The 16,021-nt window shown below is 40.9% G+C and overlaps 1 long non-coding RNA gene across 1 annotated transcript in view, besides 2 other annotated features; it reads right to left on the bottom strand.

The window, feature by feature from the left end:
* Nucleotides 1-16,021, bottom strand: part of ICA1-AS1 (ICA1 antisense RNA 1) — an 81,057-nt gene that overhangs the window by 36,285 nt on the left and 28,751 nt on the right. The gene's annotated exons all lie outside the window — the stretch shown is intronic.
* Nucleotides 2,505-3,066: an enhancer, noted in NCBI's record as "H3K27ac-H3K4me1 hESC enhancer chr7:8343561-8344122 (GRCh37/hg19 assembly coordinates)". NCBI's record gives its function as "activates a minimal SCP1, AML or CMV promoter by ChIP-STARR-seq in primed H9 embryonic stem cells {active_cell/tissue: H9 hESC(primed)}" and the evidence as "EXISTENCE:reporter gene assay evidence [ECO:0000049][PMID:30033119]".
* Nucleotides 3,067-3,629: an enhancer, noted in NCBI's record as "NANOG-H3K27ac-H3K4me1 hESC enhancer chr7:8342998-8343560 (GRCh37/hg19 assembly coordinates)". NCBI's record gives its function as "activates a minimal SCP1, AML or CMV promoter by ChIP-STARR-seq in primed H9 embryonic stem cells {active_cell/tissue: H9 hESC(primed)}" and the evidence as "EXISTENCE:reporter gene assay evidence [ECO:0000049][PMID:30033119]".

Here is a 16,021-nt window from a genome sequence, read left to right as displayed (position 1 = left end):
AACCAAAGTCAGACTATTAGATGCATGCCCTGTGTTTTGTTATTGCAGTCACTGAGAATGGTGACAGTAATAGTGATAGCCAGAAGGAAAAGGAGCCTGGTGCTAAAAGCTAAATTAAAAGGGACGAGAAGGTCAGCGAGTACACTAAAAGCAGGTACTTCAAAGGACTAGACTTCTGAGGGACAAGGGCTAGCAAATGCGCTGAGATCCATTGGCTCAGGGAGGACATCTAACCCACTCTCAGAAGTAGATGTGGAGGTAAAAGCAGGCGGCATTTCAGAAGCCTCCAGGGACAACGGGTTTCTGATAGAGTAACAAGATGAAGAAAACATTCAAAAAAAAAAAAAAAGTTTGAAGAAAGAGGAGATTTTGCTGGTGATGACCCTTCCAGAGGGCACCATGGAAGCGTTTGTAAAGTCAAGAATCACGGCAGCGCGCAGTGGCTCACGCCTATAATCCCGGCACTTTGGGAGGCCGAAGTGGGCAGATCACGAGGTCAGGAGTTCAAGACCAGCCTGGCCAACATGGTGAAACTCCATCTCTACTAAAAACACAAAAATTAGCTGGGCATGGTGGCGGGCGCCTGTAATCCCAGCTACTCAGGAGGCTGAGGCAGGAGAATCGCTTGAACCCGGGAGGCGGAAGTTGCAGTGAGCTGAGATCACACCATTGCTCTCCAGCCTGGGTGACAGAGCAAGACTCCGTCCCCAAAAAAAAAAAAAAAAAAAAGAATCACGGGAGATTGAGTCACACTGAGGAATGTACCAAGCTGTATGTGAACAAGAGTGAGGATGCTGGAAGCTTGGAGTTCTGGTGGTGACCATGGTGAACAGGATGTGAAGCTTGACGGTGTAATCCTGAGAGCCTCTGGGGCAAAGTGGGTCCTCACTTCTTATTACAGCTTTCTTTCCAGGACTATCCTCTCAGTGGTAAAGAGGTATTGGGCTGCTCAGAGCATGAACAATTTTCCTGCCACAATGAAAGCTAATGTCCCTGACCCTGTAGAATACCTGGAATTCTTCTGGATCTTTTGTTTGTCTTACATGACTAAAACTTAAATATGTATCTATTACATGGGGAGTCCTGCTTGCAATGAGTAATCTAGACTTTGAAAGTCAAGTATAGCCAGCACTATTTCTTAGACACCAGCCTGTTGGAAAACTCACAAGTACCCTGTACTAATAGTTTCACATCTCCTTTCACGAAGCACGGGAAAGAGCAGTCAGAAAAATGGCGTCTTTCTGGCTTTTTCTCAACCAGCCTGGTTCATCTTGGCGAGCACACATGTGCTTTTAGCAACTTAAAAAACATTTCTCCAGGAAAACTCTCATGGACACCCAAGCCAGTAGGGTCCTTCTTAGGGAATCCACAGCATCCTGGGCCCTCACCCATATCCCGACTGCATGGTCACTCCCTCTTATTTGCTTGCCTTGCCTAGAAAGGGATATGCTATAGACTGAAGCTTTGTGTCCTCCCCAAAATTCACATGTTGAAGCTGTAACCCACGATGTGATGGTATTTAGAGATTCAGCTTTTGGGAGGTAATTAAGGTTAGATGAGGCCATGAGGGCAGAGTCCTCATGATGGGATTAGTGCCCTTATTAATGCCTTAAGAGACACCAGAGAGCCATGTGAGGACACAGCAAGAAGGCCACCATCTGCCAGCCAGGAAGAAGGCCCTCACCAGAACTTAACCATGCTGGCACCCTGCTCTGGGACTTCAGCCTCCAGGACTGAAATAAATAAATTTCTGTTGTTCAGCCTCCAGTCTATGGTATTTTGTTATGCAACCTAGCAGACTAAGATAGGGTATAAGCTCTTTGAAAGCAAGGACTCTATTTTACTGATTGTTCAATCTCCAGGATGGATTACAGTGTTTAGCACCTAGTACGTGCTTGATAAACAATTAAAGAAGAAACAATTAATGTAATATAATGCCCATGCTTTTGCATTCATAAAATGAAGCTCATGGTAGCAGAGATATTGTCTACAAAATATGAAACCAAAATTATGTGACCCACAGACCAAAAAGAAATGTTCTTAGCCCTATCAGAAAAAAACCTTCTGAGGTTTATGGTGAAGAGGAGAAAAAGATTGTTTTACCCCATATTATCTCCAATCATTTGAAAGAGGCAACCTCGCTTCATGACTGCTTACTTCACTGCCCTTATATTGCCTAGCAGGATCTGCTATGGGCAGACTTTGGGCTAGCTGTCTGGGGAACACAGGCAAAGAGACATTTTTTAAAATATGCTACATTTAAATAATTGAAAATTGGGGAAAATACTGCCAAAGCAACAAAAAAGGTGCCAGGGAGGAGAATAGAGGGAAACCTACTTAAGTGGGGTGACCGGAAAAGGCCTCTTTAAGAATCTGACATTTTAACTGAGAACTGAGGATGGACAGAAAAAAAAAGTATTCCAGGCGGAGGAAAAAAACCTGTGCAAAAGTCCTTAGACAGGCTAGAGTTTAAGAAGCCCAGTATAGATGAGGCTGCATAAGTGAGATTAGCAAGGTAAGCAAGTCTTGAAGGTCAGGGTCAAAATTGGGACTTTATTGTATATATACAGGACACTCTTGGAGGATCTTAAACAGAAGGATGGCATCATCCCATTCATTCAGTCAGTCAGTTATATACTGAACACCTGTCATGTGACAGGCACTATTAGGTGCTGGCACATGCATACCCTAGCATTTGGTAAGCAACAACAGGCCATCCTCTGTGTCACTGTCACATGTCCAAATTCATCTCCCCCCTAGACTAGATACATGAACATGGGAGTAATATTTTTAAAATACAACTGTAAGTCTATCAAATTTACTTTGACTCCAAATACTTACAATTAAGAAAATTCCGGGGGAGGAGGCAAGATGGCCGAATAGGAACAGCTCCGGTCTGCAGCAATCAGCCTGAGCGACGCAGAAGACGGGTGATTTCTGCATTTCCATCTGAGGTACCGGGTTCATCTCACTAGGGAGCGCCAGACAGTGGGCGCAGGTCAGTGGGTGCGCACCGTGCGCGAGCCGAAGCAGGGCGAGGCATTGCCTCACTCGGGAAGTGCTAGGGGTCAGGGAGTTCCCTTTCCTAATCAAAGAAAGGGGTGACGGACGGCACCTGGAAAATCGGGTCACTCCCACCCGAATACTGCGCATTTCCGACGGGCTTAAAAAATGGCGCACGACGAGATTATATCCCGCACCTGGCTCGGAGGGTCCTACGCCCACGGAGTCTCGCTGATTGCTAGCACAGCAGTCTGAGATCAAACTGCAAGGCGGCAGCGAGGCTGGGGGAGGGGCGCCCGCCATTGCCCAGGCTTGCTTAGGTAAACAAAGCAGCCGGGAAGCTCGAACTGGGTGGAGCCCACCACAGCTCAAGGAGGCCTGCCTGCCTCTGTAGGCTCCACCTCTGGGGGCAGGGCACAGACAAACAAAAAGACAGCAGTAACCTCTGCAGACTTAAATGTCCCTGTCTGACAGCTTTGAAGAGAGCAGTGGTTCTCCCAGCATGCAGCTGGAGATCTGAGAACGGGCAGACTGCCTCCTCAAGTGGGTCCCTGACCCCTGACCCGCGAGCAGCCTAACTGGGAGGCACCCTCCAGCAGGGGCACACTGACACCTCACACTGCAGGGTACTCCAACAGACCTGCAGCTGAGGGTCCTGTCTGTTAGAAGGAAAACTAACAAACAGAAAGGACATCCACACCAAAAACCCATCTGTACGTCACCATCATCAAAGACCAAAAGTAGATAAAACCACAAAGATGGGGAAAAAACAGAACAGAAAAACTGGAAACTCTAAAAATCAGAGCGCCTCTCCTCCTCCAAAGGAATGCAGCTCCTCACCAGCAACGGAACAAAGCTGGACAGAGAATGACTTTGAAGAGCTGAGAGAAGAAGGCTTCAGACGATCAAATTACTCTGAGCTACGGGAGGACATTCAAACCAAAGGCAAAGAAGTCGAAAACTTTGAAAAAAATATAGAAGAATGTACAACTAGAATAACCAATACAGAGAAGTGCTTAAAGGAGCTGATGGAGCTGAAAACCAAGGCTCGAGAACTACGTGAAGAATGCAGAAGCCTCAGGAGCTGATGTGATCAAGTGGAAGAAAGGGTATCAGCAATGGAAGATGAAATGAATGAAACGAAGCGAGAAGGAAAGTTTAGAGAAAAAAGAATAAAAAGAAACGAGCAAAGCCTCCAAGAAATATGGGACTATGTGAAAAGACCAAATCTACGTCTGATTGGTGTAACTGAAAGTGATGGGGAGAATGGAACCAAGTTGGAAAACACTCTGCAGGATATCATCCAGGAGAATTTCCCCAATCTAGCAAGGCAGGCCAACGTTCAGATTCAGGAAATACAGAGAATGCCACAAAGATACTCCTCGAGAAGAGCAATCCCAAGACACATAATTGTCAGACTCACCAAAGTTGAAATGAAGGAAAAAATGTTAAGGGCAGCCAGAGAGAAAGGTCGGGTTACCCTCAAAGGGAAGCCCATCAGACTAACAGTGGATCTCTCGGCAGAAACCCTACAAGCCAGAAGAGAGTGGGGGCCAATATTCAACATTCTTAAAGAAAAGGATTTTCAACCCAGAATTTCATATCCAGCCAAACTAAGCTTCTTAAGTGAAGGAGAAATAAAATACTTTACAGACAAGCAAATGCTGAGAGATTTTGTCACCACCAGGCCTGCCTTAAAAGAGCTCCTAAAGGAAGCGCTAAACATGGAAAGGAACAACCGGTACCAGCCGCTGCAAAATCATGCCAAAATGTAAAGACTATCGAGACTAGGAAGAAACTGCGTCAACTAACGAGCAAAATAACCAGCTAACATCATAATGACAGGATCAAATTCACACATAACACTATTAACTTTAAATGTAAATGGACTAAATGCTCCAATTAAAAGACACAGTCTGGCAAATTGGATAAAGAGTCAAGACCCATCAGTGTGCTGTATTCAGGAAACCCATCTCACGTGCAGAGACACACATAGGCTCAAAATAAAAGGATGGAGGAAAATCTACCAAGCAAATGGAAAACAAAAAAAGGCAGGGGTTGCAATCCTAGTCTCTGATAAAACAGACTTTAAACCAACAAAGATCAAAAGAGACAAAGAAGGCCATTACATAATGGTAAAGGGATCAATTCAACAAGAAGAGCTAACTATCCTAAATATATATGCACCCAATACAGGAGCACCCAGATTCATAAAGCAAGTCCTGAGTGACATACAAAGAGACTTAGACTCCCACAGATTAATAATGGGAGACTTTAACATCCCACTGTCAACATTAGACAGATCAACGAGACAGAAAGTCAACAAGGATACCCAGGAATTGAACTCAGCTCTGCACCAAGCGGACCTAATAGACATCTACAGAACTCTCCACCCCAAATCAACAGAATATACATTTTTTTCAGCACCACACCACACCTATTCCAAAATTGACCACATACTTGGAAGTAAAGCTCTCCTCAGCAAATGTAAAAGAACAGAAATTATAACAAACTATCTCTCAGACCACATTGCAATCAAACTAGAACTCAGGATTAAGAATCTCACTCAAAACCGCTCAACTACATGGAAACTGAACAACCTGCTCCTGAATGACTACTGGGTACATAACGAAATGAAGGCTGAAATAAAGATGTTCTTTGAAACCAACGAGAACAAAGACACAACATACCAGAATCTCTGGGATGCATTCAAAGCAGTGTGTAGAGGGAAATTTATAGCACTAAATGCCCACAAGAGAAAGCAGGAAAGATCCAAAATTGACACCCTAACATCACAATTAAAAGAACTAGAAAAGCAAGAGCAAACACATTCAAAAGCTAGCAGAAGGCAAGAAATAACTAAAATCAGAGCAGAACTGAAGGAAATAGAGACACAAAAAACCCTTCAAAAAATTAATGAATCCAGGAGCTGGTTTTTTGAAAGGATCAACAAAATTGATAGACCGCTAGCAAGACTAATAAAGAAAAAAAGAGAGAAGAATCATATAGACACAATAAAAAACGATGAAGGGGATATCACCACTGATCCCACAGAAATACAAACTACCGTCAGAGAATACTACAAACACCTCTACGCAAATAAACCAGAAAATCTAGAAGAAATGGATAAATTCCTTGACACATACACTCTCCCAAGACTAGACCAGGAAGAAGTTGAATCTCTGAATAGACCAATAACAGGATCTGAAATTGTGGCAATAATCAATAGCTTACCAACCAAAAAGAGTCCAGGACCAGATGGATTCACAGCCAAATTCTACCAGAGGTACAAGGAGGAACTGGTACCATTCCTTCTGAAACTATTCCAATCAATAGAAAAAGAGGGAATCCTCCCTAACTCATTTTATGAGGCCAGCATCATTCTGATACCAAAGCCGGGCAGAGACACAACCAAAAAAGAGAATTTTAGACCAATATCCTTGATGAACATTGATGCAAAAATCCTCAATAAATTACTGGCAAACCGAATCCAGCAGCACATCAAAAAGCTTATCCACCATGATCAAGTGGGCTTCATCCCTGGGATGCAAGGCTGGTTCAATATACGCAAATCAATAAATGTAATCCAGCATATAAACAGAGCCAAAGACAAAAACTACATGATTATCTCAATAGAGGCAGAGAAGGCCTTTGACAAAATTCAACAACCTTTCATGCTAAAAACTCTCAATAAATTAGGTATTGATGGGACATATTTCAAAATAATAAGAGCTATCTATGACAAACCCACAGCCAATATCATACTGAATGGGCAAAAACTGGAAGCATTCCCTTTGAAAACTGGCACAAGACAGGGATGCCCTCTCGCACCACTCCTATTCAACATAGTGTTGGAAGTTCTGGCCAGGGCAATTAGGCAGGAGAAGGAAATAAAGGGTATTCAATTAGGAAAAGAGGAAGTCAAATTGTCCCTGTTTGCAGATGACATGATTGTATATCTAGAAAACCCCACTGTCTCAGCCCAAAATCTCCTTAAGCTGATAAGCAACTTCAGCAAAGTCTCAGGATACAAAATCAATGTGCAAAAATCACAAGCATTCCTACACACCAACAACAGACAAACAGAGAGCCAAATCATGAGTGAACTCCCATTCACAATTGCTTCAAAGAGAAAAAAATACCTACGAATCCAACTTACAAGGGATGTGAAGGACCTCTTCAAGGAGAACTACAAACCGCTGCTCAAGGAAATAAAAGAGGATACAAACAAATGGAAGAACATTCCATGCTCATGGGTAGGAAGAATCAATATCGTGAAAATGGCCATACTGCCCAAGGTAATTTACAGATTCAATGCCATCCCCATCAAGCTACCTATGCCTTTCTTCACAGAATTGGAAAAAACTACTTTAAAGTTTATATGGAACCAAAAAAGAGCCCGCATCACCAAGTCAATCCTAAGCCAAAAGAACAAAGCTGGAGGCATCACACTACCCGACTTCAAACTATACTACAAGGCTACAGTAACCAAAACAGCATGGTACTGGTACCAAAACAGAGATATAGATCAATGGAACAGAACAGAGCCCTCAGAAGTAACGCCGCATATCTACAACTATCTGATCTTTGACAAACCTGAGAAAAACAAGCAATGGGGAAAGGATTCCCTATTTAATAAATGGTGCTGGGAAAACTGGCTAGCCATATGTAGAAAGCTGAAACTGGATCCCTTCCTTACACCTTATACAAAAATCAATTCAAGATGGATTAAAGACTTAAATGTTAGACCTAAAACCATAAAAACCCTAGAAGAAAACCTAGGCATTACCATTCAGGACATAGGCATGGGCAAGGACTTCATGTCTAAAACACCAAAAGCAATGGCAACCAAAGCCAAAATTGACAAATGGGATCTAATTAAACTAAAGAGCTTCTGCACAGCAAAAGAAACTACCATCAGAGTGAACAGGCAACCTACAAAATGGGAGAAAATTTTCGCAACCTACTCATCTGACAAAGGGCTAATATCCAGAATCTACAGTGAACCCAAATTTACAAGAAAAAAACAAACAACCCCATCAAAAAGTGGGCAAAGGACATGAACAGACACTTCTCAAAAGAAGACATTTATGCAGCCAAAAAACACATGAAAAAATGCTCACCATCACTGGCCATCAGAAAAATGCAAATCAAAACCACAATGAGATACCATCTCATACCAGTTAGAATGGCAATCATTAAAAAGTCAGGAAACAACAGGTGCTGGAGAGGATGTGGAGAAATATGAACAACTTTTACACTGTTGGTGGGACTGTAAACTAGTTCAACCATTGTGGAAGTCAGTGTGGCGATTCCTCATGGATCTAGAACTAGAAATACCTTTTGACCCAGCCATCCCATTACTGGGTATATACCCAAAGGACTATAAATCATGCTGCTATAAAGACACATGCACATGTATGTTTACTGCGGCATTATTCACAATAGCAAAGACTTGGAACCAACCCAAATGTCCAACAATGATAGACTGGATTAAGAAAATGTGGCACATATATACCATGGAATACTATGCAGCCATAAAAAATGATGAGTTCATGTCCTTTGTAGGGACATGGATGAAATTGGAAACCATCATTCTCAGTAAACTATCGCAAGAACAAAAAACCAAACACCGCATATTCTCACTCATAGGTGGGAATTGAACAATGAGATCACATGGACACAGGAAGGGGAACATCACACTCTGGGGACTGTTGTGGGGTTGGGGGAGGGGGGAGGGATAGCATTGGGAGATATACCTAATGCTAGATGACGAGTTAGTGGGTGCAGCGCACCAGCATGGCACATGTATACATATGTAACTAACCTGCACAATGTGCACATGTACCCTAAAACTTAAAGTATAATAATAAAAATAAATAAATAAATAAAATAAAAAAAAAGGAAAAAAAAATTAAGAAAATTTATCTTCACTGACTCAATGTACAAATAAATAAATGATAGCAAGGCCAACTGCAGCTCTAAATAGTAGAGAATATAAATGATTCAAGCATAAAATGGTCAGAGTTCCCTGAATAAATATTTTCCTACAGTCATGTATAAATAATTCTGATTTCTGTCTGAACCACCTGTCTGCGTTCCTAGGGAAACTAAAGTGAATACATGCCTGTCTGTGACTCTACTCCCTGTATCAAAAGCCAAAGTGGACACAGCTACAGAGGGGAGAGAGGTTGTCTCCACATTCTGTTGTTGGATCACTCTCTTATTCACAATCGTCCCAGAAGCCATAGACAATAAAGGAAGGAGGAGCTGATGCAAAGGAATTGGATAGGGAGGTTCTCACCCTTCCATGTGTGCGGATAGTTTGGGTGTGTTGTAAAGACTCCAGACCACGCTCCAGACCATCTAAAGTTCCGGCTTCCATTTCTAACTGCCCTTACTAGAGCCTTAGGAAAAGCATTTAAATGCACTGCGACTTGGGTTGCTTCTCTTACATAGTAAGGAAAGAACCAGGAACAGACAAGATAATAATGATGATAATTTTTTTTTTTTTTTGAGACGGAGTCTCACTCTTTCGCCCAGTCTGGAGTGAGTGGCACAATCTCTACTCATTGCAACCTCTGCCTCCCAGGTTCAAGCAATTCTCTTGGCTCAGCCTGCTAAGTAGCTGAGATTACAGGTGTGTGCCACCACGCCCGGCTAATTTTTGTATTTTTATTTATTTATTTATTTACTTTTAACAGAGATGGGGTTTCACCATGTTGGCCAGGCTGGTCTCAAACTCCTGACCTCAGGTGGCTGCCTGCCTCGGCCTCCCAAAGTGCTGGGATTGCAGGCGTGAGCCACCACACCCGGCCAATGATGATACTTTTAAATAGTATTGAAAAAAAGAGAATTAAAGCACCATGGTGGAGACCGAGACTGGGAATGGTGAGAATTCTGAGTTAACCATTTTGGAGAAGGATTAAACTGGAGGTGCCGGTCACTCTGCACTAAAGGAAATATTAAGATTCTACACATCACAAATTGAGAATTTAAATGTGAGAGGGAAATAGTATGCATTTCATAAAAGTACACTTGCTTATGTATTCATTTATGTATAAAAAATTAGAGTTGTGGGAGACAAGAGAACTAGGATTCAGAAAGCAGGGGTAAGGACCTCACCACCATCAAAGGGAAACCAAGAAATTATGACAAACAAAATGAAGATTGAGATTTACCCTGCCTCTGTCTATATTTACAAAAAGGGAGCTCAAATCCCAGCTGATGTGTTGTCAGTTCCCTGGGTTCGAAGCCAGAGAACTCAGTAGTTCAGGGGTGTGCTTTTATTTCTGGATCTGTCCTGTCTAGCACAGAGGTTGACGCAAGAGTAGGAGTTAAATGAGAGGATAAACAAATTAATTTATTTATTTTTAAATTTACACCTCCACTAATCCAATCAATTGCATGGAAGTACATCTGCTTCAGAGAAGTAGCGACAGAGCCAAAGGAATTTGGAGCTCTGTTTATAATACTGCATTTACAAGAAAAGAGTTATCAAAGTGTCATTCTCTGAAAAACATGTTGCTCATTCACCTACTTAATAAAAAATAAAAATCTAAAAACTCATGATATAAATAATAAAGTAGAGAAACCAAATCTGAACAGTTAGGTTTCCAACTGGCCACTGGTATATTTTCAAATGGAAAAGGCAGCCATTTTAAAAACAAGACTTACCAAGCCTTTGGGAAAGCTTGAAGGTAGCTAAATCTGTCATTGGTATATGCAGCCACCAGATGTCACTATTGGCTTAAGCAAATATGCTCTAGCTCGCTGTCGGCTAATTCACACTATTTGTAATCTTAGAGACCTTGGAGGGCATCCTACCTAGACAGTTGATGAAATTGAAGCTCTAGTTACTTCATAGCTATTTGCAGAGACATCAGGACTCAATCTAGAATCTTCAGACTCCCTTTCTATTGCTTTCCCTTTTCCATCCATGTTTTTGTTTTTTGTTTTTTGGTGGTGGTGGTGGTGTTTTTTAACTAAATCAGCCCAATAATGCTCTTTAGGTTAGTAAATGACAACTAGGAAGACGAATTATATTAAAACAGTTGCCTGTATCACAGGACTTAGATGCGGGTAATTGTGTTTGCTCACCTTTTCCCTGTTTAAAATGCTGCACTCTTGGGTGTTGCCAGTTGGAACAGATCTTTTCATAAAGGCAAAGGAAGTAGTGACGAGCTTGCCAATCAAAGTCCAATTAAAATGTATTCCTTTTAGGTAGGTGACATTTAAACAGTAGTCCCTAGAAGGCAGTTCACGTTTCTGAAATTTACAAGTGACTTTTTCATTGAATGGGTATACCCAAGATTATTCCTTAGTTTCTCTTTTTTTAATAAGCATGAATAATAAATGTTAATATCCTTTGTTGCTAATCTTTTGGTTTCTCTCCGTAGACTATTAAGTAGTCTTCCATTTACACAAATCTATTTTCTCTCCAGAAAGACTCCCTCTGCATCCTCACCCTCACTAGAATATTCCAACAAGTGTTTCTTTTGCATTACCATCTCTTCCTTCTCATTCTCACAACTTTTACTACCTTCTCAGGGAGAAAGCATCTAATAGATTTCCATTTCCTAAAAATACTACATACTGTATCTTGGAAGTTCCTCCACTCCATAAAAACTCTCCGTATTGTTTTCCCCCACTACAAATACAAATCTCAAAACAAGAAACAGTACGTGGCAAGAGCAAGACCTGAAGAAAGACAAAGACCAAGAGAGAACACAAAGAAGTATGAGGAACAGAAATGCAAAAGAAGAAAACTTCAGCCCAGTGTGGTAGCTAACACCTGTAATCCCAGAACTTTAGGAGGCCAAGGTGGGAGGATCACTTGAGTGCAGGAGTTTGAGACTGCCCTGGGCAACAAAGTGAGACCCCACCCTTACTAAAAAATAGTTTTAAATTAGCCAGGCATGGTGGCACATGCCTGTAGTCCCACCTACTGAGGAGGCGGAGGCAGGAGGATCACTTGAGCCTGGCAGATAAAGGCTGCAGTTAGCTGTGATTGCACCACTGCATTCCAGCCTGGGCAACAGAGCAAGACCCTGTCCAAAAAAAGAAAAGAAGAAGAAGAAGACTTCACGTAGGAATATACTTCTGGCTCGTTCTTATTTAATCACATCATTCTAGTACTGCGTTTTTTACAGCCCCATAATTTTGTTTTTCTTTTATTTGGCAACAGAATTATGCTTATTGTTCAAACAAATGACAGAATTGTGTAAGCCAAGATGAACAAAAATACATGGTTGATTTATTTAAGTCTTAAGAATAACAGTTGAGATGAGTTTGAATAAAATTTGCAGCTAACAACAGGACATTAAGGATAACTTAAATATATTCAATGCAGTCATTTATTCCAGTTTCATGAACATTCAGTAGCTTTTTATGTCTAAGTTGCCATCAATGGACCTCTTAGACATTCAAAATACTAGCATTGTATCATTAACACTTTTCTGATCAATGGGTTGAGTAATATAGGACGTATGAAAATATGTATTGCATTCTCTTTCAAATGAGCTGCATGGTACCTCCATTAACATAACTATATTGATCTAATTTCATTATTTTCAGCAGAGTGCAATTTGGAAATATAAAATTGATAAACAGGAGCCACATGAGGAGCGGAGTTTAAACAAAAGGTCATAAATTATAAAGCCTCAATAAGGAAGATCCTAGATAATTGCCGTGATGTGAAAGTGTTAAGTATATGCATTTCTTTTTTCTTTTTTTTTAAGAAAACCTTACATTTTTGGGTTTGTTGGGTTTTTTTAAATTTACTTTTTTATTATTTTATTTTATTTTATTTTATTTATTTATTTATTTATTTATTTATTTTTGAGACAGAGTCTGTCTCTGTCACCCAGGCTAAAGTGTAGTGGTATGATGTTGGCTCACTGCAACCTCTGCCTTCCAGGTTCAAGCGATTATCTTCCCTCAGCCTTCTGAGTAGCTGGGATTACGTGGACCTGCTACCACGCCTGGCTAATTTTTGTATTTTTAGTAGAGACAGGGTTTCGCCATGTTGGCCAGGCTGGTCTTGAACTCCTGACCTCAAGTGATCTGTCCACCTCTCCCTTCCAAAGTGCTGGGATTACAGGCATGAGCCACCACACCTGGCCAAAAATCTTACAGCCACTGCGCCCGACCAAATTTCTTATATATTTTATCCATTTTATTTCAACCAGACTAAATCTATTGGTGGTAGATAATTTCATCTCCTTTTCAGAGAGGTAGTTTCAATTCACCTAATTATATAAGTTATTTATCACATGGACTGAAGGAGACTCAAATCACAGCCCTGGATCAAAATATTAGATCCTACCCTCAGAGATTCTGATTAAATTGGCCTGAATGTGGTGTGGACATCAGTTAATTAAAACCTTCCCAGGTGATTCTAATAGGCAAGATTGAGAATCACTGCACCAAACCTCACATCTTACACATACAGATGTTAACACATTATTACTTTATTATTTTCAGTGTTTTTTATAAATGGGTTTACTTCCAAGTTAGGTTTAACATGTGTTTAGAAATATCTGTCAAGTTACTGCAAAAGGTGATCACAAATTAAACATTCTTCAAGGTCAAATGAATAAAGAATAATTAGTACATGCACTTTCATTCATTGTCTCTGAATTAATCAGTAAATTCATTAGTTAACTTCCAAAAGCTGATTCTAAGGAACTTCCAAAGAATGTTATTGGTGTTGCCCCAAAATTGAACAGAAAATCCAATATCAAATAATTTGGGGATAAATACACATTTATACAGGATCTTTTAGAATCTATAACATGTTAATAGATTGCAGATCTCCAAGAGGGACAGAATTCCCTATGTGGCATGCAGTGAATATGTGTTGAATGATTGAAGGAACCTTGGGTCTAATATTTCATGCAAACACACTTTAGGAAATGCAATCCAACGATATTTCTTTTAAAGCAATAATAATTAAGACTTAGAACGGAAATGTTACCCAAAGATTTTACTCTGCAAGCCTGACATACCACTTGGTTTTTAGTATTCTTTTGAATATATCATGATATTGCCTTCAAATATTTGGACGTTTTCTACCAGAAGCACAGCAGAATGGTTAAGAGTAGAAACTTAAGATTTGTTAGGTTCACATCAGGCATTTTTTACTTAATCTTTCTGTGCTTCAATTTCTTCACCTGTAAAATGGGGAAATGGATCACACCTGTCTCATGGTATTGCTGTGCTTGCTAAACGTAGGTCATTGTTATTATTATTGTAACAGAATATTGAATGACATTGAAAAGTGAGATACAAAACTGTCATATAAAAACCATGAAAGGAAATTTCTGAGAACCCACCGCATAAATTCTGAACCATCTGACTCACTACAAGGATATGAAAGAGCTGAGAGACGAAAGGAGAAGGGATATTTGTGAAGATAGCACTTTGGGGAGAATAATTGCCTCGTTATTAGTTTCTACCATCTCACTCTATTGAGAGGGACTCCCATGGGTCCACTTTGAATTCCTAAGTGGGGCATCCCTGCATTTTGGGGACACTGGCCCTGCATTCTGCCTTCTGCCCAGGAAATCTAGAGGGCCAAGGATGGTAGAATAACTGCTTTGAGGACAGTTACTCCCACATGCATTTCCAGGGTTTTTCAGGTCAAAGAACCCTAGAGTGTTTCCTGTGGAGCAGAGGTGGGCAGCAAATGAGAGAGAGCTAACTTGAGTCTGGCCCAATGCAGGTCCTAGAGGGCAGCAGCAAGAAGCTGGGTGCAAGGCCAAATTCCTAGGATCCAAAGCAGGAGGAACAAGTGGCCACCTGGACTTGACGGGGTTCTGCAGCCAGCAACAAGGGGACTGCAGGAGAAGTCACCAATGAAGGGAATCACAAAGCCTCACAAAAGTGCCCTACAGGGGAAGGCATCAGATTTAAACCAAAAAGCTCAACATGGGCAAACAGAGAATAGCTAATGAGAGCCCTTTTAGGGACAAACAGCAGGGTAAGCAGGCCCAGGCTGGGCCAAGGGAGCTCTGCCCGTTAAATCGAGGTCAGAGCCTGGTTATTATCTTAGGCCCACAATCTAATTACTGAATTGTGCCTGTGTTTATGATCTTAATTGACAGTAGGATGGTATACTACTTAAGCATGAGCAGAAAAGGCATAGGGTCTCCAGAAATTTGCTTCCCAGGGCTTCCGATGATTACTGAATAAATTTTAAGGGAGTAGGAAAGACAAAAATAAAGTTGATTTGATGATATGCTGTGAATCCTGAGGTTTACACACCAGATAAATATGTATGTTTTTAGCCAGAATATGTCATGAATTCCCTTGAATTGAGGGATGGTAATACATACTCTCAATTTTACATCCATGCTACTCATACTGTGATCCATGAGCCAGAAGCATCAATATCATCTGGGAGATTTTTAAATAATGCAGACTCTCAGGCCACACCCCAGACCTGGTGACTCAGAACCTGTATTTTAACAAGATCTCCTGGGGATTCATATGCATATTAAAATTAGAGAAATATTGCCTTATACCACCCAGCCATCCACCAGCAAGTCTTTGTGACATTTTAAAACAATCTAATTGCAACATAACAAGTCCATTGAAGCTATATCATACAAGTCTCATAATAGCAACAAATATTTTATAGCATTTTGGCATTATAAAGCTCTTCTACAATTTCATTTTATCTTTGTCATTCTCACAGTTAACTGCTTAACTTTAAATCTGGTGAGTTATTTCATGTGTTATCTCTTGCATTTAGTGCATAGGAAACTGGTTAGACGAGTGACAGGAAAACCTGTCTCTAACACCTGGTGTTCCAGGCCACCTTCCAATAACAAAGGAAAACTAGAGAGTTTACCGTCTGTTATTGCATAATGTGTGCTCATTACCTTATCTTTGCAATGCGCCACAGGGCTTCTAGATTCTGTGGGTAATAAATGAGAGACAGCCCTGCAGATTACCATAGCCTCAGGGAAAACTTGCTTGGGTGTCCTCATCAGCAGAAATGAAGACAAATTAC

The sequence above is a fragment of the Homo sapiens genome, chromosome 7 (genome assembly GCF_000001405.40).
Source record: "Homo sapiens chromosome 7, GRCh38.p14 Primary Assembly".
Lineage (NCBI taxonomy): Eukaryota > Metazoa > Chordata > Mammalia > Primates > Hominidae > Homo > Homo sapiens.
The sequence above is the reverse complement of the archived record's forward strand: the minus strand, read 5'-3'. Positions and strand labels throughout refer to the sequence as shown.